This window comes from Homo sapiens, chromosome 17 (assembly GCF_000001405.40).
Source record: "Homo sapiens chromosome 17, GRCh38.p14 Primary Assembly".
Taxonomy (NCBI): domain Eukaryota; kingdom Metazoa; phylum Chordata; class Mammalia; order Primates; family Hominidae; genus Homo; species Homo sapiens.
Window position 1 is genome coordinate 22,744,820 of NC_000017.11, and position 18,860 is coordinate 22,763,679.

The 18,860-nt window shown below is 40.7% G+C and overlaps 31 annotated features.

Annotated features, from left to right (window-relative positions):
• Positions 250–838: an enhancer, noted in NCBI's record as "OCT4-NANOG-H3K27ac-H3K4me1 hESC enhancer chr17:22244396-22244984 (GRCh37/hg19 assembly coordinates)". NCBI's record gives its function as "activates a minimal SCP1, AML or CMV promoter by ChIP-STARR-seq in primed H9 embryonic stem cells {active_cell/tissue: H9 hESC(primed)}" and the evidence as "EXISTENCE:reporter gene assay evidence [ECO:0000049][PMID:30033119]".
• Positions 839–1,426: an enhancer, noted in NCBI's record as "OCT4-NANOG-H3K27ac-H3K4me1 hESC enhancer chr17:22244985-22245572 (GRCh37/hg19 assembly coordinates)". NCBI's record gives its function as "activates a minimal SCP1, AML or CMV promoter by ChIP-STARR-seq in naive and primed H9 embryonic stem cells {active_cell/tissue: H9 hESC(naive and primed)}" and the evidence as "EXISTENCE:reporter gene assay evidence [ECO:0000049][PMID:30033119]".
• Positions 1,427–2,014: an enhancer, noted in NCBI's record as "OCT4-NANOG-H3K27ac-H3K4me1 hESC enhancer chr17:22245573-22246160 (GRCh37/hg19 assembly coordinates)". NCBI's record gives its function as "activates a minimal SCP1, AML or CMV promoter by ChIP-STARR-seq in naive and primed H9 embryonic stem cells {active_cell/tissue: H9 hESC(naive and primed)}" and the evidence as "EXISTENCE:reporter gene assay evidence [ECO:0000049][PMID:30033119]".
• Positions 2,015–2,602: an enhancer, noted in NCBI's record as "OCT4-NANOG-H3K27ac-H3K4me1 hESC enhancer chr17:22246161-22246748 (GRCh37/hg19 assembly coordinates)". NCBI's record gives its function as "activates a minimal SCP1, AML or CMV promoter by ChIP-STARR-seq in naive and primed H9 embryonic stem cells {active_cell/tissue: H9 hESC(naive and primed)}" and the evidence as "EXISTENCE:reporter gene assay evidence [ECO:0000049][PMID:30033119]".
• Positions 2,603–3,190: an enhancer, noted in NCBI's record as "OCT4-NANOG-H3K27ac-H3K4me1 hESC enhancer chr17:22246749-22247336 (GRCh37/hg19 assembly coordinates)". NCBI's record gives its function as "activates a minimal SCP1, AML or CMV promoter by ChIP-STARR-seq in primed H9 embryonic stem cells {active_cell/tissue: H9 hESC(primed)}" and the evidence as "EXISTENCE:reporter gene assay evidence [ECO:0000049][PMID:30033119]".
• Positions 3,191–3,778: an enhancer, noted in NCBI's record as "OCT4-NANOG-H3K27ac-H3K4me1 hESC enhancer chr17:22247337-22247924 (GRCh37/hg19 assembly coordinates)". NCBI's record gives its function as "activates a minimal SCP1, AML or CMV promoter by ChIP-STARR-seq in primed H9 embryonic stem cells {active_cell/tissue: H9 hESC(primed)}" and the evidence as "EXISTENCE:reporter gene assay evidence [ECO:0000049][PMID:30033119]".
• Positions 3,779–4,366: an enhancer, noted in NCBI's record as "OCT4-NANOG-H3K27ac-H3K4me1 hESC enhancer chr17:22247925-22248512 (GRCh37/hg19 assembly coordinates)". NCBI's record gives its function as "activates a minimal SCP1, AML or CMV promoter by ChIP-STARR-seq in naive and primed H9 embryonic stem cells {active_cell/tissue: H9 hESC(naive and primed)}" and the evidence as "EXISTENCE:reporter gene assay evidence [ECO:0000049][PMID:30033119]".
• Positions 4,367–4,953: an enhancer, noted in NCBI's record as "OCT4-NANOG-H3K27ac-H3K4me1 hESC enhancer chr17:22248513-22249099 (GRCh37/hg19 assembly coordinates)". NCBI's record gives its function as "activates a minimal SCP1, AML or CMV promoter by ChIP-STARR-seq in naive and primed H9 embryonic stem cells {active_cell/tissue: H9 hESC(naive and primed)}" and the evidence as "EXISTENCE:reporter gene assay evidence [ECO:0000049][PMID:30033119]".
• Positions 4,954–5,542: an enhancer, noted in NCBI's record as "OCT4-NANOG-H3K27ac-H3K4me1 hESC enhancer chr17:22249100-22249688 (GRCh37/hg19 assembly coordinates)". NCBI's record gives its function as "activates a minimal SCP1, AML or CMV promoter by ChIP-STARR-seq in naive and primed H9 embryonic stem cells {active_cell/tissue: H9 hESC(naive and primed)}" and the evidence as "EXISTENCE:reporter gene assay evidence [ECO:0000049][PMID:30033119]".
• Positions 5,543–6,130: an enhancer, noted in NCBI's record as "OCT4-NANOG-H3K27ac-H3K4me1 hESC enhancer chr17:22249689-22250276 (GRCh37/hg19 assembly coordinates)". NCBI's record gives its function as "activates a minimal SCP1, AML or CMV promoter by ChIP-STARR-seq in naive and primed H9 embryonic stem cells {active_cell/tissue: H9 hESC(naive and primed)}" and the evidence as "EXISTENCE:reporter gene assay evidence [ECO:0000049][PMID:30033119]".
• Positions 6,131–6,718: an enhancer, noted in NCBI's record as "OCT4-NANOG-H3K27ac-H3K4me1 hESC enhancer chr17:22250277-22250864 (GRCh37/hg19 assembly coordinates)". NCBI's record gives its function as "activates a minimal SCP1, AML or CMV promoter by ChIP-STARR-seq in naive and primed H9 embryonic stem cells {active_cell/tissue: H9 hESC(naive and primed)}" and the evidence as "EXISTENCE:reporter gene assay evidence [ECO:0000049][PMID:30033119]".
• Positions 6,719–7,305: an enhancer, noted in NCBI's record as "OCT4-NANOG-H3K27ac-H3K4me1 hESC enhancer chr17:22250865-22251451 (GRCh37/hg19 assembly coordinates)". NCBI's record gives its function as "activates a minimal SCP1, AML or CMV promoter by ChIP-STARR-seq in naive and primed H9 embryonic stem cells {active_cell/tissue: H9 hESC(naive and primed)}" and the evidence as "EXISTENCE:reporter gene assay evidence [ECO:0000049][PMID:30033119]".
• Positions 7,306–7,894: an enhancer, noted in NCBI's record as "OCT4-NANOG-H3K27ac-H3K4me1 hESC enhancer chr17:22251452-22252040 (GRCh37/hg19 assembly coordinates)". NCBI's record gives its function as "activates a minimal SCP1, AML or CMV promoter by ChIP-STARR-seq in naive and primed H9 embryonic stem cells {active_cell/tissue: H9 hESC(naive and primed)}" and the evidence as "EXISTENCE:reporter gene assay evidence [ECO:0000049][PMID:30033119]".
• Positions 7,895–8,481: an enhancer, noted in NCBI's record as "OCT4-NANOG-H3K27ac-H3K4me1 hESC enhancer chr17:22252041-22252627 (GRCh37/hg19 assembly coordinates)". NCBI's record gives its function as "activates a minimal SCP1, AML or CMV promoter by ChIP-STARR-seq in naive and primed H9 embryonic stem cells {active_cell/tissue: H9 hESC(naive and primed)}" and the evidence as "EXISTENCE:reporter gene assay evidence [ECO:0000049][PMID:30033119]".
• Positions 8,482–9,069: an enhancer, noted in NCBI's record as "OCT4-NANOG-H3K27ac-H3K4me1 hESC enhancer chr17:22252628-22253215 (GRCh37/hg19 assembly coordinates)". NCBI's record gives its function as "activates a minimal SCP1, AML or CMV promoter by ChIP-STARR-seq in naive and primed H9 embryonic stem cells {active_cell/tissue: H9 hESC(naive and primed)}" and the evidence as "EXISTENCE:reporter gene assay evidence [ECO:0000049][PMID:30033119]".
• Positions 9,070–9,656: an enhancer, noted in NCBI's record as "OCT4-NANOG-H3K27ac-H3K4me1 hESC enhancer chr17:22253216-22253802 (GRCh37/hg19 assembly coordinates)". NCBI's record gives its function as "activates a minimal SCP1, AML or CMV promoter by ChIP-STARR-seq in naive and primed H9 embryonic stem cells {active_cell/tissue: H9 hESC(naive and primed)}" and the evidence as "EXISTENCE:reporter gene assay evidence [ECO:0000049][PMID:30033119]".
• Positions 9,657–10,244: an enhancer, noted in NCBI's record as "OCT4-NANOG-H3K27ac-H3K4me1 hESC enhancer chr17:22253803-22254390 (GRCh37/hg19 assembly coordinates)". NCBI's record gives its function as "activates a minimal SCP1, AML or CMV promoter by ChIP-STARR-seq in naive and primed H9 embryonic stem cells {active_cell/tissue: H9 hESC(naive and primed)}" and the evidence as "EXISTENCE:reporter gene assay evidence [ECO:0000049][PMID:30033119]".
• Positions 10,245–10,832: an enhancer, noted in NCBI's record as "OCT4-NANOG-H3K27ac-H3K4me1 hESC enhancer chr17:22254391-22254978 (GRCh37/hg19 assembly coordinates)". NCBI's record gives its function as "activates a minimal SCP1, AML or CMV promoter by ChIP-STARR-seq in naive and primed H9 embryonic stem cells {active_cell/tissue: H9 hESC(naive and primed)}" and the evidence as "EXISTENCE:reporter gene assay evidence [ECO:0000049][PMID:30033119]".
• Positions 10,833–11,420: an enhancer, noted in NCBI's record as "OCT4-NANOG-H3K27ac-H3K4me1 hESC enhancer chr17:22254979-22255566 (GRCh37/hg19 assembly coordinates)". NCBI's record gives its function as "activates a minimal SCP1, AML or CMV promoter by ChIP-STARR-seq in naive and primed H9 embryonic stem cells {active_cell/tissue: H9 hESC(naive and primed)}" and the evidence as "EXISTENCE:reporter gene assay evidence [ECO:0000049][PMID:30033119]".
• Positions 11,421–12,008: an enhancer, noted in NCBI's record as "OCT4-NANOG-H3K27ac-H3K4me1 hESC enhancer chr17:22255567-22256154 (GRCh37/hg19 assembly coordinates)". NCBI's record gives its function as "activates a minimal SCP1, AML or CMV promoter by ChIP-STARR-seq in primed H9 embryonic stem cells {active_cell/tissue: H9 hESC(primed)}" and the evidence as "EXISTENCE:reporter gene assay evidence [ECO:0000049][PMID:30033119]".
• Positions 12,009–12,596: an enhancer, noted in NCBI's record as "OCT4-NANOG-H3K27ac-H3K4me1 hESC enhancer chr17:22256155-22256742 (GRCh37/hg19 assembly coordinates)". NCBI's record gives its function as "activates a minimal SCP1, AML or CMV promoter by ChIP-STARR-seq in primed H9 embryonic stem cells {active_cell/tissue: H9 hESC(primed)}" and the evidence as "EXISTENCE:reporter gene assay evidence [ECO:0000049][PMID:30033119]".
• Positions 12,597–13,184: an enhancer, noted in NCBI's record as "OCT4-NANOG-H3K27ac-H3K4me1 hESC enhancer chr17:22256743-22257330 (GRCh37/hg19 assembly coordinates)". NCBI's record gives its function as "activates a minimal SCP1, AML or CMV promoter by ChIP-STARR-seq in naive and primed H9 embryonic stem cells {active_cell/tissue: H9 hESC(naive and primed)}" and the evidence as "EXISTENCE:reporter gene assay evidence [ECO:0000049][PMID:30033119]".
• Positions 13,185–13,772: an enhancer, noted in NCBI's record as "OCT4-NANOG-H3K27ac-H3K4me1 hESC enhancer chr17:22257331-22257918 (GRCh37/hg19 assembly coordinates)". NCBI's record gives its function as "activates a minimal SCP1, AML or CMV promoter by ChIP-STARR-seq in naive and primed H9 embryonic stem cells {active_cell/tissue: H9 hESC(naive and primed)}" and the evidence as "EXISTENCE:reporter gene assay evidence [ECO:0000049][PMID:30033119]".
• Positions 13,773–14,360: an enhancer, noted in NCBI's record as "OCT4-NANOG-H3K27ac-H3K4me1 hESC enhancer chr17:22257919-22258506 (GRCh37/hg19 assembly coordinates)". NCBI's record gives its function as "activates a minimal SCP1, AML or CMV promoter by ChIP-STARR-seq in naive and primed H9 embryonic stem cells {active_cell/tissue: H9 hESC(naive and primed)}" and the evidence as "EXISTENCE:reporter gene assay evidence [ECO:0000049][PMID:30033119]".
• Positions 14,361–14,948: an enhancer, noted in NCBI's record as "OCT4-NANOG-H3K27ac-H3K4me1 hESC enhancer chr17:22258507-22259094 (GRCh37/hg19 assembly coordinates)". NCBI's record gives its function as "activates a minimal SCP1, AML or CMV promoter by ChIP-STARR-seq in naive and primed H9 embryonic stem cells {active_cell/tissue: H9 hESC(naive and primed)}" and the evidence as "EXISTENCE:reporter gene assay evidence [ECO:0000049][PMID:30033119]".
• Positions 14,949–15,536: an enhancer, noted in NCBI's record as "OCT4-NANOG-H3K27ac-H3K4me1 hESC enhancer chr17:22259095-22259682 (GRCh37/hg19 assembly coordinates)". NCBI's record gives its function as "activates a minimal SCP1, AML or CMV promoter by ChIP-STARR-seq in naive and primed H9 embryonic stem cells {active_cell/tissue: H9 hESC(naive and primed)}" and the evidence as "EXISTENCE:reporter gene assay evidence [ECO:0000049][PMID:30033119]".
• Positions 15,537–16,124: an enhancer, noted in NCBI's record as "OCT4-NANOG-H3K27ac-H3K4me1 hESC enhancer chr17:22259683-22260270 (GRCh37/hg19 assembly coordinates)". NCBI's record gives its function as "activates a minimal SCP1, AML or CMV promoter by ChIP-STARR-seq in naive and primed H9 embryonic stem cells {active_cell/tissue: H9 hESC(naive and primed)}" and the evidence as "EXISTENCE:reporter gene assay evidence [ECO:0000049][PMID:30033119]".
• Positions 16,125–16,712: an enhancer, noted in NCBI's record as "OCT4-NANOG-H3K27ac-H3K4me1 hESC enhancer chr17:22260271-22260858 (GRCh37/hg19 assembly coordinates)". NCBI's record gives its function as "activates a minimal SCP1, AML or CMV promoter by ChIP-STARR-seq in naive and primed H9 embryonic stem cells {active_cell/tissue: H9 hESC(naive and primed)}" and the evidence as "EXISTENCE:reporter gene assay evidence [ECO:0000049][PMID:30033119]".
• Positions 16,713–17,300: an enhancer, noted in NCBI's record as "OCT4-NANOG-H3K27ac-H3K4me1 hESC enhancer chr17:22260859-22261446 (GRCh37/hg19 assembly coordinates)". NCBI's record gives its function as "activates a minimal SCP1, AML or CMV promoter by ChIP-STARR-seq in naive and primed H9 embryonic stem cells {active_cell/tissue: H9 hESC(naive and primed)}" and the evidence as "EXISTENCE:reporter gene assay evidence [ECO:0000049][PMID:30033119]".
• Positions 17,301–17,888: an enhancer, noted in NCBI's record as "OCT4-NANOG-H3K27ac-H3K4me1 hESC enhancer chr17:22261447-22262034 (GRCh37/hg19 assembly coordinates)". NCBI's record gives its function as "activates a minimal SCP1, AML or CMV promoter by ChIP-STARR-seq in naive and primed H9 embryonic stem cells {active_cell/tissue: H9 hESC(naive and primed)}" and the evidence as "EXISTENCE:reporter gene assay evidence [ECO:0000049][PMID:30033119]".
• Positions 17,889–18,476: an enhancer, noted in NCBI's record as "OCT4-NANOG-H3K27ac-H3K4me1 hESC enhancer chr17:22262035-22262622 (GRCh37/hg19 assembly coordinates)". NCBI's record gives its function as "activates a minimal SCP1, AML or CMV promoter by ChIP-STARR-seq in primed H9 embryonic stem cells {active_cell/tissue: H9 hESC(primed)}" and the evidence as "EXISTENCE:reporter gene assay evidence [ECO:0000049][PMID:30033119]".

Here is an 18,860-nt window from a genome sequence, read left to right on the forward strand (position 1 = left end):
GAAACTTCTTTGTGATGGGTGCATTCATCTCACAGAGTTCAAACTTTCCTTTGATTGAGCAGTTTTGAAACAGTCTTTTTTAAAATCTGCATAAGGATATTTGTGATCCCTTTGTGGCCCATGGTGAAAAAGGAAATGTCTTCACATAAAACCTAGACAGAAGCTTTCTGAGAAACTTTTTGTGATGTATGCATTCATCACAGAGATTTGAACATTTCTTTTCATGGAGCAGTTTGGAAACAGTCTTTTTGCAGAATCTGCAAAGAGAAATATGTAGGCAGTTTGAGGCCTATGGTGGAAAAGGAAATATCTTCATATAAGAACTACACAGAAGCTTCCTGAGAATCTATGGAAGCTAAATCACATAAATACTAGATAGAAGCCTTCTCAGAAACTACGTTGTGATGATTGCATTCACCTCACGGAGTGGAGCATTCCTATTGACAGAGCAGTTTGGAAACACCCTTGTTGTAGAATCTGCTAGTGGAGATTTGGAGCGCTTTGAGGCCTATGGTAGTAAATGGAAGAGCTTCACATAAAATCTAGACAGAAGCATTCTGAGAAAATACTTTGTGATGATTGAGTTTAACACACAGAGCTGAACATTCCTTTGGATGGAGAAGGTTTGAAACACACTTTCTGTAGAATCTGCGAGTGGATATTTGGACCTCTCTGAGGATTTCGTTGGAAACGGGATAACTGCACCTAACTAAACGGAAGCATTCTCACAAAATTCTTTGTGATGTTTGCATTCAAATCCCAGAGTTGAACCTTCCTTTGATAGTTCAGCTTTGAAACACCCTTTTTGTAGGATCTGCAAGTGGATAGTTGGACCACTCTTTGGCCTTCGTTCGAAACGGGTACATCTTCAAATAAAATCTAGACAGAAGCCTTCTCAGAAACTTCTCTGTGATGATTGCATTCAAATCAAAGCGTTGAACCCTCCTATGGATAGAGCAGTTTTGAATCTCTCTTTTTGTGGAATCTGCAAGTGGTTGTGTGGTCCTCTTTGAAGATGTCTTTGGAAACGGGAATATCTTCACATAAAAACTAAACAGAAGCATTCTCAGAAACTTCTCTGTGATGTTTGTGTCCAAATCACAGAGTTTCACGTTGCTTTTCATAGAGCAGATGAGAAACATTCTTTTCGTAGGGTCTGCAAGTGGACATTTGGAGAGATTTCAGGCCTGTGGTGGAAAACGAATTATCGTCAAGTAAAAACTAGAGGGAAGCATTGTCAGAAACTTGTTTGTGATGACTGCATTCAACTCACAGAGTTGAAGGTTCCTTTTCAAACAGCAGTTTCCAAACACTCTTTCTGTGGCATCTGCAAGTGGATGATTGGGCCTCTTTGAAGATTTCGTTGGAAACGGGATAATCTTCACAGAAAAGCTAAACAGAAGCATTCTCAGAAACTTCTTTGTGATGTTTGCTTTCAACTCACAGAGTTGAACTTTCCTTTTGAGAGAGAAGCTTTGAAACACTCTTTTTCTAGAATCTGCAAGTGGATATTTGGAGGGCTTTGAGGCCTGTGGTGGAAAAGGAATTATCTTCCCGTAAGAACTAGATAGATGCATTCTCAGAAACTACTTTGTGACGATTGCATTCAAGTCACAGAGGTGAACATTCCCTTTCAGAGAGCACTTTGGAAACTCTCGTTGTGTAGAATCTGCAAGTGGAGATATGGACCGCTTTGAGGCCTATGGTAGTAAAGGAAACAGCTTCATATAAAAACTAGACAGCAGCATTCTCAGAAAACTCTTTGTGACGACTGAGTTTAACTCACAGGGCTGAACATTCCTTTGGATGGAGCAGTTTGGAAACACACTATCTGTAGGATCTGCAAGCGGATACTTGGGCCTCTCTGAGGATTTTGTTGGAAACGGGATAAACCGCACAGAACTAAACAGAAGCATTCTCAGAACCTTCTTCGTGACGTTTGCATTCAACCCACAGTGTTGAACCTTTCTTTGATAGTTCAGGTTTGAAACACTCTTTTTGTAGAAACTGCAAGTGGATAACTGCACTTCTTTGAGGCCTATCGTAGTAAAGGAAATAACTTCCTATAAAAACAAGACAGAAGCTTTCTCAGAAAATTCTCTGGGATGATTGAGTTGAACTCACAGAGCAGTACTTTCCTTGGGATGGAGTAGTTTCGAAACACACTTTCTGTAGAATCTGCAAGTGGATATTTGGACCTGTCTGAGGAATTCGTTGCAAACGGGATAATTTCAGCTAAGGAAACAGAAGCAGTCTCAGAATCTTCTTGTGATGTTTGCATTCAAATCCCAGAATTGAACCTTCCTTTGAAAGTTCAGGTTTGAAACACTCTTTTTGCAGAATCTACAAGTGGATATTCGGACCACTCTGTGGACTTCGTTCGAAACGGGTATATCTTCACATAACATCTACACAGAAGCATTCTCAGAAACTTTTCTGTGATGACTGCATTCAACTCACAGAGTTGAACACTCCTTTTGAGAGCGCAGTTTTGAAACTCTCTTTCTCTGGAATCTGCAAGGGGACATGCAGACCTCTTTGAAGGTTTCGTTGGAAACGGAATCGTCTTCACATAAAATTTACACAGAAGCATTCTCAGGAACTCCTTGGTGATGTTTGTATTCAACTTCCAGAGTTGAACTTTCCTTCGGAAAGAGCAGCTATGAAACACTCTTTTTCTAGAATCTGCAAGTGGACATTGGGAGGGCTGTGAGGTTTGTGGTGGAAAAGGAAATATCTCCACGTAAATACTAGATAGAAGCCTTCTCAGAAACTATGTTGTGATGATTGCATTCACCTCACGGAGTGGAGAATTCCTATTGACAGAGCAGTTTGGAAACACCCTTGTTGTAGAATCTGCTAGTGGAGAATTGGAGCGCTTTGAGGCCTATGGTAGTAAATGGAGGAGCTTCACATAAAATCTAGACAGAAGCATTCTCAGAAAATACTTTGTGATGATTGAGTTTAACACACAGAGCTGAACATTCCTTTGGATGGAGCAGGTTTGAAACACACTTTCTGTAGAATCTGCGAGTGGATATTTGGACCTCTCTGAGGATTTCGTTGGAAACGGGATAACTGCACCTAACTAATCGGAAGCATTCTCACAAACTTCTTCGTGATGTTTGCATTCAAATCCCAGATTTGAACCTTCCTATGATAGTTCAGCTTTGAAACATTCTTTTTGTAGGATCTGCAAGTGGATATTTGGACCACTATTTGGCCTTCCTTCGAAACGGGTACATCTTCAAATAAAATCTAGACAGAAGCCTTCTCAGAAACTTCTCTGTGATGATTGCATTCAACTCATAGCGTTGAACCTTCCTATGGATAGAGCAGTTTTGAATCTCTCTTTTTGTGGAATCTGCAAGTGGTTGTGTGGTCCTCTTTGAAGATGTCTTTGGAAATGGGAATATCTTCACATAAAAACTAAACAGAAGCATTCTCAGAAACTTCTCTGTGATGTTTGTGTCCAAATCACAGAGTTTCACGTTGCTTTTCATAGAGCAGATGAGAAACATTCTTTTCGTAGGGTCTGCAAGTGGACATTTGGAGAGATTTCAGGCCTGTGGTGGAAAACGAATTATCGTCAAGTAAAAACTAGAGGGAAGCATTGTCAGAAACTTGTTTGTGATGACTGCATTCAACTCACAGAGTTGAAGGTTCCTTTTCAAACAGCAGTTTCCAAACACTCTTTCTGTGGCATCTGCAAGTGGATGTTTGGGCCTCTTTGAAGATTTCGTTGGAAACGGGATAATCTTCACAGAAAAGCTAAACAGAAGCATTCTCAGAAACTTCTTTGTGATGTTTGCTTTCAACTCACAGAGTTGAACTTTCCTTTTGAGAGAGAAGCTTTGAAACACTCTTTTTCTAGAATCTGCAAGTGGATATTTGGAGGGCTTTGAGGCCTGTGGTGGAAAAGGAATTATCTTCCCGTAAGAACTAGATAGATGCATTCTCAGAAACTACTTTGTGACGATTGCATTCAAGTCACAGAGGTGAACATTCCCTTTCACAGAGCACTTTGGAAACTCTCCTTGTGTAGAATCTGCAAGTGGAGATATGGACCGCTTTGAGGCCTATGGTAGTAAAGGAAACAGCTTCATATAAAAACTAGACAGCAGCATTCTCAGGAAATTCTTTGTGACGACTGAGTTTAACTCACAGGGCTGAACATTCCTTTGGATGGAGCAGTTTGGAAACACACTATCTGTAGGATCTGCAAGCGGATACTTGGGCCTCTCTGAGGATTTCGTTGGAAACGGGATAAACCGCACAGAACTAAACAGAAGCATTCTCAGAACCTTCTTCGTGACGTTTGCATTCAACCCACAGTGTTGAACCTTTCTTTGATAGTTCAGGTTTGAAACACTCTTTTTGTAGAAACTGCAAGTGGATAACTGCACTTCTTTGAGGCCTATCGTAGTAAAGGGAATAACTTCCTATAAAAACAAGACAGAAGCTTTCTCAGAAAATTCTCTGGGATGATTGAGTTAAACTCACAGAGCAGTACTTTCCTTGGGATGGAGTAGTTTCGAAACACACTTTCTGTAGAATCTGCAAGTGGATATTTGGACCTGTCTGAGGAATTCGTTGCAAACGGGATAATTTCAGCTAAGTAAACAGAAGCAGTCTCAGAATCTTCTTGTGATGTTTGCATTCAAATCCCAGAATTGAACCTTCCTTTGAAAGTTCAGGTTTGAAACACTCTTTTTGAAGGATCTACAAGTGGATATTCGGACCACTCTGTGGACTTCGATCGAAACGGGTATATCTTCACATAACATCAAGACAGAAGCATTCACAGAAACTTTTCTGTGATGACTGCATTCAACTCACAGAGTTGAACACTCCTTTTGAGAGCGCAGTTTTGAAACTCTCTTTCTCTGGAATCTGCAAGGGGACATGCAGAACTCTTTGAAGGTTTCGTTGGAAACGGAATCATCTTCACATAAAAATTACACAGAAGCATTCTCAGGAACTCCTTGGTGATGTTTGTATTCAACTTCCAGAGTTGAACTTTCCTTCGGAAAGAGCAGCTATGAAACACTCTTTTTCTAGAATCTGCAAGTGGACATTGGGAGGGCTGTGAGGTTTGTGGTGGAAATGGAAATATCTCCACATAAATACTAGATAGAAGGCTTCTCAGAAACTACTTTGTGATGATTGCATTCACCTCACGGAGTGGAGCATTCCTATTGACAGAGCAGTTTGGAAACACTCTTGTTGTAGAATCTGCTAGTGGAGATTTGGAGCGCTTTGAGGCCTATGGTAGTAAAGGGAAGAGCTTCACATAAAATCTAGACAGAAGCATTCTCAGAAAATACTTTGTGATGATTGAGATTAACACACAGAGCTGAACATTCCTTTGGATGGAGAAGGTTTGAAACACACTTTCTGTAGAATCTGCGAGTGGATATTTGGACCTCTCTGAGGATTTCGTTGGAAACGGGATAACTGCACCTAACTAAACGGAAGCATTCTCACAAAATTCTTTGTGATGTTTGCATTCAAATCCCAGAGTTGAACCTTCCTTTGATAGTTCAGCTTTGAAACACCCTTTTTGTAGGATCTGCAAGTGGATATTTGGACCACTCTTTGGCCTTCGTTCGAAACGGGTACATCTTCAAATAAAATCTAGACAGAAGCCTTCTCAGAAACTTCTCTGGGATGATTGCATTCAACTCAAAGCTTTGAACCCTCCTATGGATAGTGCAGTTTTGAATCTCTCTTTTTGTGGAATCTGCAAGTGGATATGTGGTACTCTTTGAAGTTGTCTTTGGAAACGGGAATATCTTCACATAAAAACTAAACAGAAGCATTCTCAGAAACTTCTCTGTGATGTTTGTGTTCAACTCACAGAGTTTCACGTTGCTTTTCATAGAGCAGATGAGAAACACGCTTTTCGTAGGGTCTGCAAGTGGACATTTGGAGAGATTTCAGGCCTGTGGTGGAAAACGAATTATCGTCACGTAAAAACTAGAGAGAAGCATTGTCAGAAACTTGTTTGTGATGACTGCATTCAACTCACAGAGTTGAAGGTTCCTTTTCAAACAGCAGTTTCCAAACACTCTTTCTGTGGCATCTGCAAGTGGATGTTTGGGCCTCTTTGAAGATTTCTTTGGAAACGGAATAATCTTCACAGAAAAGCTAAACAGAAGCATTCTCAGAAACTTCTTTGTGATGTTTGCTTTCAACTCACAGAGTTGAACTTTCCTTTTGAGAGAGAAGCTTTGAAACACTCTTTTTCTAGAATCTGCAAGTGGATATTTGGAGGGCTTTGAGGCCTGTGGTGGAAAAGGAATTATCTTCCCGTAAGAACTAGATAGATGCATTCTCAGAAACTACTTTGTGACGATTGCATTCAAGTCACAGAGGTGAACATTCCCTTTCAGAGAGCACTTTGGAAGCTCTCGTGTAGAATCTGCAAGTGGAGATATGGACCGCTTTGAGGCCTATGGTAGTAAAGGAAACAGCTTCATATAAAAACTAGACAGCAGCATTCTCAGAAAACTCTTTGTGACGACTGAGTTTAACTCACAGGGCTGAACATTCCTTTGGATGGAGCAGTTTGGAAACACACTATCTGTAGGATCTGCAAGCGGATACTTGGGTCTCTCTGAGGATTTCCTTGGAAACGGGATAAACAGCACAGAACTAAACAGAAGCATTCTCAGAACCTTCTTCGTGACGTTTGCATTCAACCCACAGTGTTGAACCTTTCTTTGATAGTTCAGGTTTGAAACACTCTTTTTGTAGAAACTGCAAGAGGATAACTGCACTTCTTTGAGGCCTATCGTAGTAAAGGAAATAACTTCCTATAAAAACAAGACAGAAGCTTTCTCAGAAAATTCTCTGGGATGATTGAGTTGAACTCACAGAGCAGTACTTTCCTTGGGATGGAGTAGTTTCAAAACACACTTTCTGTAGAATCTGCAAGTGGGTATTTGGACCTGTCTGAGGAATTCGTTGCAAACGGGATAATTTCAGCAAAGTAAACAGAAGCAGTCTCAGAATCTTCTTGTGATGTTTGCATTCAAATCCCAGAATTGAACCTTCCTTTGAAAGTTCAGGTTGGAAACACTCTTTTTGCAGGATCTACAAGTGGATATTGGGACCACTCTGTGAACTTCGTTCGAAACGGGTATATCTTCACATAACATCTAGACAGAAGCATTCTCAGAAACTTTTCTGTGATGACTGCATTCAACTCACAGAGTTGAACACTCCTTTTGAGAGCGCAGTTTTGAAACTCTCTTTCTCTGGAATCTGCAAGGGGACATGCAGACCTCTTTGAAGGTTTCGTTGGAAACAGAATCATCTTCACATAAAAATTACACAGAAGCATTCTCAGGAACTCCTTGGTGATGTTTGTATTCAACTTCCAGAGTTGAACTTTCCTTCTGAAAGAGCAGCTATGAAACACTCTTTTTCTAGAATCTGCAAGTGGACATTGGGAGGGCTGTGAGGTTTGTGGTGGAAAAGGAAATATCTCCACATAAATACTAGATAGAAGGCTTCTCAGAAACTACTTTGTGATGATTGCATTCACCTCACGGAGTGGAGCATTCCTATTGACAGAGCAGTTTGGAAACACTCTTGTTGTAGAATCTGCTAGTGGAGATTTGGAGCGCTTTGAGGCCTATGGTAGTAAAGGGAAGAGCTTCACATAAAATCTAGACAGAAGCATTCTCAGAAAATACTTTGTGATGATTGAGATTAACACACAGAGCTGAACATTCCTTTGGATGGAGAAGGTTTGAAACACACTTTCTGTAGAATCTGCGAGTGGATATTTGGACCTCTCTGAGGATTTCGTTGGAAACGGGATAACTGCACCTAACTACACGGAAGCATTCTCACAAAATTCTTTGTGATGTTTGCATTCAAATCCCAGAGTTGAACCTTCCTTTGATAGTTCAGCTTTGAAACACTCTTTTTGTAGGATCTGCAAGTGCATATTTAGACCACTCTTTGGCCTTCGTTCGAAACGGGTACATCTTCAAATAAAATCTAGACAGAAGCCTTCTCAGAAACTTCTCTGTGATGATTGCATTCAACTCAAAGCGTTGAACCCTCCTATGGATAGAGCAGTTTTGAATCTCTCTTTTTGTGGAATCTGCAAGTGGATATGTGGTCCTCTTTGAAGATGTCTTTGGAAACGGGAATATGTTCACATAAAAACTAAACAGAAGCATTCTCAGAAACTTCTCTGTGATGTTTCTGTTCAACTCACAGAGTTTCACGTTGCTATTCATAGAGCAGATGAGAAACATGCTTTTCGTAGGGTCTGCAAGTGGACATTTGGAGAGATTTCCCACCTGCGGTGGAAAACGAATTATCGTCACGTAAAAACTAGAGAGAAGCATTGTCAGAAACTTGTTTGTGATGACTGCATTCAACTCACAGAGTTGAAGGTTCTTTTTCAAACAGCAGTTTCCAAACACTCTTTCTGTGGCATCTGCAAGTGGATGTTTGGGCCTCTTTGAAGATTTCGTTGGAAACGGGATAATCTTCACAGAAAAGCTAAACAGAAGCATTCTCAGAAACTTCTTTGTGATGTTTGCTTTCAACTCACAGAGTTGAAATTTCCTTTTGAGAGAGAAGCTTTGAAACACTCTTTTTCTAGAATCTGCAAGTGGATATTTGGAGGGCTTTGAGGCCTGAGGTGGAAAAGGAATTATCTTCCCGTAAGAACTAGATAGATGCATTCTCAGAAACTACTTTGTGACGATTGCATTCAAGTCACAGAGGTGAACATTCCCTTTCAGAGAGCACTTTGGAAACTCTCGTTGTGTAGAATCTGCAAGTGGAGATATGGACCGCTTTGAGGCCTATGGTAGTAAAGGAAACAGCTTCATATAAAAACTAGACAGCAGCATTCTCAGAAAACTCTTTGTGACGACTGAGTTTAACTCACAGGGCTGAACATTCCTTTGGATGGAGCAGTTTGGAAACACACTATCTGTAGGATCTGCAAGCGGATACTTGGGCCTCTCTGAGGATTTCGTTGGAAACGGGATAAACCGCACAGAACTAAACAGAAGCATTCTCAGAACCTTCTTCGTGATGTTTGCATTCAACCCACAGTGTTGAACCTTTCTTTGATAGTTCAGGTTTGAAACACTCTTTTTGTAGAAACTGCAAGTGGATAACTGCACTTCTTTGAGGCCTATCGTAGTAAAGGAAATAACTTCCTATAAAAACAAGACAGAAGCTTTCTCAGAAAATTCTCTGGGATGATTGAGTTGAACTCACAGAGCAGTACTTTCCTTGGGATGGAGTAGTTTCGAAACACACTTTCTGTAAAATCTGCAAGTGGATATTTGGACCTGTCTGAGGAATTCGTTGCAAACGGGATAATTTCAGCTAAGTAAACAGAAGCAGTCTCAGAATCTTCTTGTGATGTTTGCATTCAAATCCCAGAATTGAAACTTCCTTTGAAAGTTCAGGTTGGAAACACTCTTTTTGCAGGATCTACAAGTGGATATTCGGACCACTCTGTGGACTTCGTTCGAAACGGGTATATCTTCACATAACATCTAGACAGAAGCATTCTCAGAAACTTTTCTGTGATGACTGCATTCAACTCACAGAGTTGAACACTCCTTTTGAGAGCGCAGTTTTGAAACTCTCTTTCTCTGGAATCTGCAAGGGGACATGCAGACCTCTTTGAATGTTTCATTGGAAACGGAATCATCTTCACATAAAAATTACACAGAAGCATCCTCAGGAACTCCTTGGTGATGTGTGTATTCAACTTCCAGAGTTGAACTTTCCTTCGGAAAGAGCAGCTATGAAACACTCTTTTTCTAGAATCTGCAAGTGGACATTGGGAGGGCTGTGAGGTTTGTGGTGGAAAAGGAAATATCTCCACGTAAATACTAGATAGAAGCCTTCTCAGAAACTACGTTGTGATGATTGCATTCACCTCACGGAGTGGAGCATTCCTATTGACAGAGCAGTTTGGAAACACTCTTGTTGTAGAATCTGCTAGTGGAGATTTGGAGCGCTTTGAGGCCTATGGTAGTAAAGGGAAGAGCTTCACATAAAATCTAGACAGAAGCATTCTCAGAAAATACTTTGTGATGATTGAGTTTAACACACAGAGCTGAACATTCCTTTGGATGGAGAAGTTTTGAAACACACTTTCTGTAGAATCTGCGAGTGGATATTTGGACCTCTCTGAGGATTTCGTTGGAAACGGGAAAACTACACCTAACTAAACGGAAGCATTCTCACAAAATTCTTTGTGATGTTTGCATTCAAATCCCAGAGTTGAACCTTCCTTTGATAGTTCAGCTTTGAAACACCCTTTTTGTAGGATCTGCAAGTGGATATTTGGACCAGTCTTTGGCCTTCATTCGAAACGGGTACATCTTCAAATAAAATCTAGACAGAAGCCTTCTCAGAAACTTCTCTGGGATGCTTGCATTCAACTCAAAGCGTTGAACCCTCCTATGGATAGAGCAGTTTTGAATCTCTCTTTTTGTGGAATCTGCAAGTGGATATGTGGTCCTCTTAGAAGTTGTCTTTGGAAACGGGAATATCTTCACATAAAAACTAAACAGAAGCATTCTCAGAAACTTCTCTGTGATGTTTGTGTTCAACTCACAGAGTTTCACGTTGCTTTTCATAGAGCAGATGAGAAACATGCTTTTCGTAGGGTCTGCAAGTGGACATTTGGAGAGATTTCAGGCCTGTGGTGGAAAACGAATTATCGTCACGTAAAAACTAGAGAGAAGCATTGTCAGAAACTTGTTTGTGATGACTGCATTCAATTCACAGAGTTGAAGGTTCCTTTTCAAACAGCAGTTTCCAAACACTCTTTCTGTGGCATCTGCAAGTGGATGTTTGGGCCTCTTTGAAGATTTCGTTGGAAACGGGATAATCTTCACAGAAAAGCTAAACAGAAGCATTCTCAGAAACTTCTTTGTGATGTTTGCTTTCAACTCACAGAGTTGAACTTTCCTTTTGAGAGAGAAGCTTTGAAACACTCTTTTTCTAGAATCTGCAAGTGGATATTTGGAGGGCTTTGAGGCCTGTGGTGGAAAAGGAATTATCTTCCCGTAAGAACTAGATAGATGCATTCTCAGAAACTACTTTGTGACGATTGCATTCAAGTCACAGAGGTGAACATTCCCTTTCACAGAGCACTTTGGAAACTCTCGTTGTGTAGAATCTGCAAGTGGAGATATGGACCGCTTTGAGGCCTATGGTAGTAAAGGAAACAGCTTCATATAAAAACTAGACAGCAGCATTCTCAGAAAACTCTTTGTGACGACTGAGTTTAACTCATAGGGCTGAACATTCCTTTGGATGGAGCAGTTTGGAAACACACTATCTGTAGGATCTGCAAGCGGATACTTGGGCCTCCCTGAGGATTTCTTTGGAAACGGGATAAACCGCACAGAACTAAACAGAAGCATTCTCAGAACCTTCTTCATGACGTTTGCATTCAACCCACAGTGTTGAACCTTTCTTTGAGAGTTCAGGTTTGAAACACTCTTTTTGTAGAGACTGCAAGTGGATAACTGCACTTCTTTGAGGCCTATCGTAGTAAAGGAAATAACTTCCTATAAAAACAAGACAGAAGCTTTCTCAGAAAATTCTCTGGGATGATTGAGTTGAACTCACAGAGCAGTACTTTCCTTGGGATGGAGTAGTTTCGAAACACACTTTCTGTAAAATCTGCAAGTGGATATTTGGACCTGTCTGAGGAATTCGTTGCAAACGGGATAATTTCAGCTAAGTAAACAGAAGCAGTCTCAGAATCTTCTTCTGATGTTTGCATTCAAATCCCAGAATTGAAACTTCCTTTGAAAGTTCAGGTTGGAAACACTCTTTTTGCAGGATCTACAAGTGGATATTCGGACCACTCTGTGGACTTCGTTCGAAACGGGTATATCTTCACATAACATCTAGACAGAAGCATTCTCAGAAACTTTTCTGTGATGACTGCATTCAACTCACAGAGTTGAACACTCCTTTTGAGAGCGCAGTTTTGAAACTCTCTTTCTCTGGAATCTGCAAGGGGACATGCAGACCCCTTTGAAGGTTTCGTTGGAAACGGAATCATCTTCACATAAAAATTACACAGAAGCATCCTCAGGAACTCCTTGGTGATGTGTGTATTCAACTTCCAGAGTTGAACTTTCCTTCGGAAAGAGCAGCTATGAAACACTCTTTTTCTAGAATCTGCAAGTGGACATTGGGAGGGCTGTGAGGTTTGTGGTGGAAAAGGAAATATCTCCACGTAAATACTAGATAGAAGCCTTCTCAGAAACTACGTTGTGATGATTGCATTCACCTCACGGAGTGGAGCATTCCTATTGACAGAGCAGTTTGGAAACACTCTTGTTGTAGAATCTGCTAGTGGAGATTTGGAGCGCTTTGAGGCCTATGGTAGTAAAGGGAAGAGCTTCACATAAAATCTAGACAGAAGCATTCTCAGAAAATACTTTGTGATGATTGAGATTAACACACAGAGCTGAACATTCCTTTGGATGGAGAAGGTTTGAAACACACTTTCTGTAGAATCTGCGAGTGGATATTTGGACCTCTCTGAGGATTTCGTTGGAAACGGGATAACTGCACCTAACTAAACGGAAGCATTCTCACAAAATTCTTTGTGATGTTTGCATTCAAATCCCAGAGTTGAACCTTCCTTTGATAGTTCAGCTTTGAAACACCCTTTTTGTAGGATCTGCAAGTGGATATTTGGACCACTCTTTGGCCTTCGTTCGAAACGGTTACATCTTCAAATAAAATCTAGACAGAAGCCTTCTCAGAAACTTCTCTGGGATGATTGCATTCAACTCAAAGCGTTGAACCCTCCTGTGGATAGAGCAGTTTTGAATCTCTCTTTTTGTGGAATCTGCAAGTGGATATGTGGTCCTCTTTGAAGTTGTCTTTGGAAACGGGAATATCTTCACATAAAAACTAAACAGAAGCATTCTCAGAAACTTCTCTGTGATGTTTGTGTTCAACTCACAGAGTTTCACGTTGCTTTTCATAGAGCAGATGAGAAACATGCTTTTCGCAGGGTCTGCAAGTGGACATTTGGAGAGATTTCTGGCCTGTGGTGGAAAACGAATTATCGTCACGTAAAAACTAGAGAGAAGCATTGTCAGAAACTTGTTTGTGATGACTGCATTCAACTCACAGAGTTGAAGGTTCCTTTTCAAACAGCAGTTTCCAAACACTCTTTCTGTGGCATCTGCAAGTGGATGTTTGGGCCTCTTTGAAGATTTCGTTGGAAACGGGATAATCTTCACAGAAAAGCTAAACAGAAACATTCTCAGAAACTTCTTTTGATGTTTGCTTTCAACTCACAGAGTTGAACTTTCCTTTTGAGAGAGAAGCTTTGAAACACTCTTTTTCTAGAATCTGCAAGTGGATATTTGGAGGGCTTTGAGGCCTGTGGTGGAAAAGGAATTATCTTCCCGTAAGAACTAGATAGATGCATTCTCAGAAACTACTTTGTGACGATTGCATTCAAGTCACAGAGGTGAACATTCCCTTTCACAGAGCACTTTGGAAACTCTCGTTGTGTAGAATCTGCAAGTGGAGATATGGACCGCTTTGAGGCCTATGGTAGTAAAGGAAACAGCTTCATATAAAAACTAGACAGCAGCATTCTCAGAAAACTCTTTCTGACGACTGAGTTTAACTCACAGGGCTGAACATTCCTTTGGATGGAGCAGTTTGGAAACACACTATCTGTAGGATCTGCAAGCGGATACTTGGGCCTCTCTGAGGATTTCGTTGGAAACGGGATAAACCGCACAGAACTAAACAGAAGCATTCTCAGAACCTCCTTCGTGACGTTTGCATTCAACCCACAGTGTTGAACCTTTCTTTGATAGTTCAGGTTTGAAACACTCTTTTAGTAGAAACTGCAAGTGGATAACTGCACTTCTTTGAGGCCTATCGTAGTAAAGGAAATAACTTCCTATAAAAACAAGACAGAAGCTTTCTCAGAAAATTCTCTGGGATGATTGAGTTGAACTCACAGAGCAGTACTTTCCTTGGGATGGAGTAGTTTCGAAACACACTTTCTGTAGAATCTGCAAGTGGATATTTGGACCTGTCTGAGGAATTCGTTGCAAACGGGATAATTTCAGCTAAGTAAACAGAAGCAGTCTCAGAATCTTCTTGTGATGTTTGCATTCAAATCCCAGAATTGAACCTTCCTTTGAAAGTTCAGGTTTGAAACACTCTTTTTGCAGGATCTACAAGTGGATATTCGGACCACTCTGTGGACTTCGATCGAAACGGGTATATCTTCACGTAACATCTAGACAGAAGCATTCTCAGAAACTTTTCTGTGATGACTGCATTCAACTCACAGAGTTGAACACTCCTTTTGAGAGCGCAGTTTTGAAACTCTCTTTCTCTGGAATCTGCAAGGGGACATGCAGACCTCTTTGAAGGTTTCGTTGGAAACGGAATCATCTTCACATAAAAATTACACAGAAGCATTCTCAGGAACTCCTTGGTGATGTTTGTATTCAACTTCCAGAGTTGAACTTTCCTTCGGAAAGAGCAGCTATGAAACACTCTTTTTCTAGAATCTGCAAGTGGACATTGGGAGGGCTGTGAGGTTTGTGGTGGAAAAGGAAATATCTCCACGTAAATACTAGATAGAAGCCTTCTCAGAAACTACGTTGTGATGATTGCATTCAACTCACGGAGTGGAGCATTCCTATTGACAGAGCAGTTTGGAAACACTCTTGTTGTAGAAACTGCTAGTGGATATTTGGAGCGCTTTGAGGCCTATGGTAGTAAAGGGAAGAGCTTCACATAAAATCAAGACAGAAGCATTCTCAGAAAATACTTTGTGATGATTGAGTTTAACACACAGAGCTGAACATTACTTTGGATGGAGCAGGTTTGAAACACACTTTCTATAGAATCTGCGAGTGGATATTTGGACCTCTCTGAGGATTTCGTTGGAAACGGGATAACTGCACCTAACTAAACGGAAGCATTCTCACAAAATTCTTCGTGATGTTTGCATTCAAATCCCAGAGTTGAACCTTCCTTTGATAGTTCAGCTTTGAAACACTCTTTTTGTTGGATCTGCAAGTGGATATTTGGACCACTCTTTGGCCTTCCTTCGAAACGGGTACATCTTCATATAAAATCTAGACAGAAGCCTTCTCAGAAACTTCTCTGTGATGATTGCATTCAACTGAAGGCGTTGAACCCTCCTATGGATAGGGCAGTTTTGAATCTCTCTTTTTGTGGAATCTGCAAGTGGATATGTGGTCCTCTTTGAAGATGTCTTTGGAAACGGGAATATCTTCACATAAAAACTAAACAGAAGCATTCTCATAAACTTCTCTGTGATGTTTGTGTCCAAATCACAGAGTTTCACGTTGCTTTTCATAGAGCAGATGAGAAACATGCTTTTCGTAGGGTCTGCAAGTGGACATTTGGAGAGATTTCAGGCCTGTGGTGGAAAACGAATTATCGTCACGTAAAAACTAGAGGGAAGCATTGTCAGAAACTTGTTTGTGATGACTGCATTCAACTCACAGAGTTGAAGGTTCCTTTTCAAACAGCAGTTTCCAAACACTCTTTCTGTGGCATCTGCAAGTGGATGTTTGGGCCTCTTTGAAGATTTCGTTGGAAACGGGATAATCTTCACAGAAAAGCTAAACAGAAGCATTCTCAGAAACTTCTTTGTGATGTTTGCTTTCAACTCACAGAGTTGAACTTTCCTTTTGAGAGAGAAGCTTTGAAACACTCTTTTTCTAGAATCTGCAAGTGGATATTTGGAGGGCTTTGAGGCCTGTGGTGGAAAAGGAATTATCTTCCCGTAAGAACTAGATAGATGCATTCTCAGAAACTACTTTGTGACGATTGCATTCAAGTCACAGAGGTGAACATTCCCTTTCAGAGAGCACTTTGGAAACTCTCTTTGTGTAGAATCTGCAAGTGGAGATATGGACCGCTTTGAGGCCTATGGTAGTAAAGGAAACAGCTTCATATAAAAACTAGACAGCAGCATTCTCAGAAAACTCTTTCTGACGACTGAGTGTAACTCACAGGGTTGAACATTCCTTTGGATGGAGCAGTTTGGAAACACACTATCTGTAAGATCTGCAAGCGGATACTTGGGCCTCTCTGAGGATTTCGTTGGAAACGGGATAAACCGCACAGAACTAAACAGAAGCATTCTCAGAACCTTCTTCGTGACGTTTGCATTCAACCCACAGTGTTGAACCTTTCTTTGATAGTTCAGGTTTGAAACACTCTTTTTGTAGAAACTGCAAGTGGATAACTGCACTTCTTTGAGGCCTATCGTAGTAAAGGAAATAACTTCCTATAAAAACAAGACAGAAGCTTTCTCAGAAAATTCTCTGGGATGATTGAGTTGAACTCACAGAGCAGTACTTTCCTTGGGATGGAGTAGTTTCGAAACACACTTTCTGTAGAATCTGCAAGTGGATATTTGGACCTGTCTGAGGAATTCGTTGCAAACGGGATAATTTCAGCTAAGTAAACAGAAGCAGTCTCAGAATCTTCTTGTGATGTTTGCATTCAAATCCCAGAATTGAACCTTCCTTTGAAAGTTCAGGTTGGAAACACTCTTTTTGCAGGATCTACAAGTGGATATTCGGACCACTCTGTGGACTTCGTTCGAAACGGGTATATCTTCACATAACATCTAGACAGAAGCATTCTCAGAAACTTTTCTGTGATGACTGCATTCAACTCACAGAGTTGAACACTCCTTTTGAGAGCGCAGTTTTGAAACTCTCTTTCTCTGGAATCTGCAAAGGGACATGCAGACCTCTTTGAAGGTTTCGTTGGAAACGGAATCATCTTCACATAAAAATTACACAGAAGCATTCTCAGGAACTCCTTGGTGATGTTTGTATTCAACTTCCAGAGTTGAACTTTCCTTCGGAAAGAGCAGCTATGAAACACTCTTTTTCTAGAATCTGCAAGTGGACATTGGGAGGGCTGTGAGGTTTGTGGTGGAAAAGGAAATATCTCCACGTAAATACTAGATAGAAGCCTTCTCAGAAACTACTTTGTGATGATTGCATTCACCTCACAGAGTGGAGCATTCCTATTGACAGAGCAGTTTGGAAACACTCTTGTTGTAGAATCTGCTAGTGGAGATTTGGAGCGCTTTGAGGCCTATGGTAGTAAAGGGAAGAGCTTCACATAAAATCAAGACAGAAGCATTCTCAGAAAATACTTTGTGATGATTGAGTTTAACACACAGAGCTGAACATTCCTTTGGATGGAGCAGGTTTGAAACACACTTTCTATAGAATCTGCGAGTGGATATTTGGACCTCTCTGAGGATTTCGTTGGAAACGGGATAACTGCACCTAACTAAACGGTAGCATTCTCACAAAATTCTTCGTGATGTTTGCATTCAAATCCCAGAGTTGAACCTTCCTTTGATAGTTCAGGTTTGAAACACTCTTTTTGTAGGATCTGCAAGTGGATATTTGGACCACTCTTTGGCCTTCCTTCGAAACGGGTACATCTTCAAATAAAATCTAGACAGAAGCCTTCTCAGAAACTTCTCTGGGATGATTGCATTCAACTTTGAGTTGAACCCTGCTATGGATAGAGCAGTTTAGAATCTCTCTTTTTGTGGAATCTGCAAGTGGATATGTCGTCCTCCTTGAAGATGTCTTTGGAAACGGGAATATCTTCACATAAAAACTAAACAGAAGCATTCTCAGAAACTTCTCTGTGATGTTTGTGTTCAAATCACAGAGTTTCACGTTGCTTTTCATAGAGCAGATGAGAAACATGCTTTTCGTAGGGTCTGCAAGTGGACATTTGGAGAGATTTCAAGCCTGTGGTGGAAAACGAATTATCGTCACGTAAAAACTAGAGGGAAGCATTGTCAGAAACTTGTTTGTGATGACTGCATTCAACTCACAGAGTTGAAGGTTCCTTTTCAAACAGCAGTTTCCAAACACTCTTTCTGTGGCATCTGCAAGTGGATGTTTGGGCCTCTTTGAAGATTTCGTTGGAAAAGGGATAATCTTCACAGAAAAGCTAAACAGAAGCATTCTCAGAAACCTCTTTTTGATGTTTGCTTTAAACTCACAGAGTTGAACTTTCCTTTTGAGAGAGAAGCTTTGAAACACTCTTTTTCTAGAATCTGCAAGTGGATATTTGGAGGGCTTTGAGGACTGTGGTGGAAAAGGAATTATCTTCCCGTTAGAACTAGATAGATGCATTCTCAGAAACTACTTTGTGACGATTGCATTCAAGTCACAGAGGTGAACATTCCCTTTCACAGAGCACTTTGGAAACTCTCGTTGTGTAGAATCTGCAAGTGGAGATATGGACCGCTTTGAGGCCTACGGCAGTAAAGGAAACAGCTTCATATAAAAACTAGACAGCAGCATTCTCAGAAAACTCTTTCTGACGACTGAGTGTAACTCACAGGGTTGAACATTCCTTTTGATGGAGCAGTTTGGAAACACACTATCTGTAAGATCTGCAAGCGGATACTTGGGCCTCTCTGAGGATTTCGTTGGAAACGGGATAAACCGCACAGAACTAAACAGAAGCATTCTCAGAACCTTCTTCGTGACGTTTGCATTCAACCCACAGTGTTGAACCTTTCTTTGATAGTTCAGGTTTGAAACACTCTTTTTGTAGAAAGTGCAAGAGTATAACTGCACTTCTTTGAGGCCTATCGTAGTAAAGGAAATAACTTCCTATAAAAACAAGACAGAAGCTTTCTCAGAAAATTCTCTCAGATGATTCAGTTGAACTCACAGAGCAGTACTTTCCTTGGGATGGAGTAGTTTCGAAACACACTTTCTGTAGAATCTGCAAGTGGATATTTGGACCTGTCTGAGGAATTC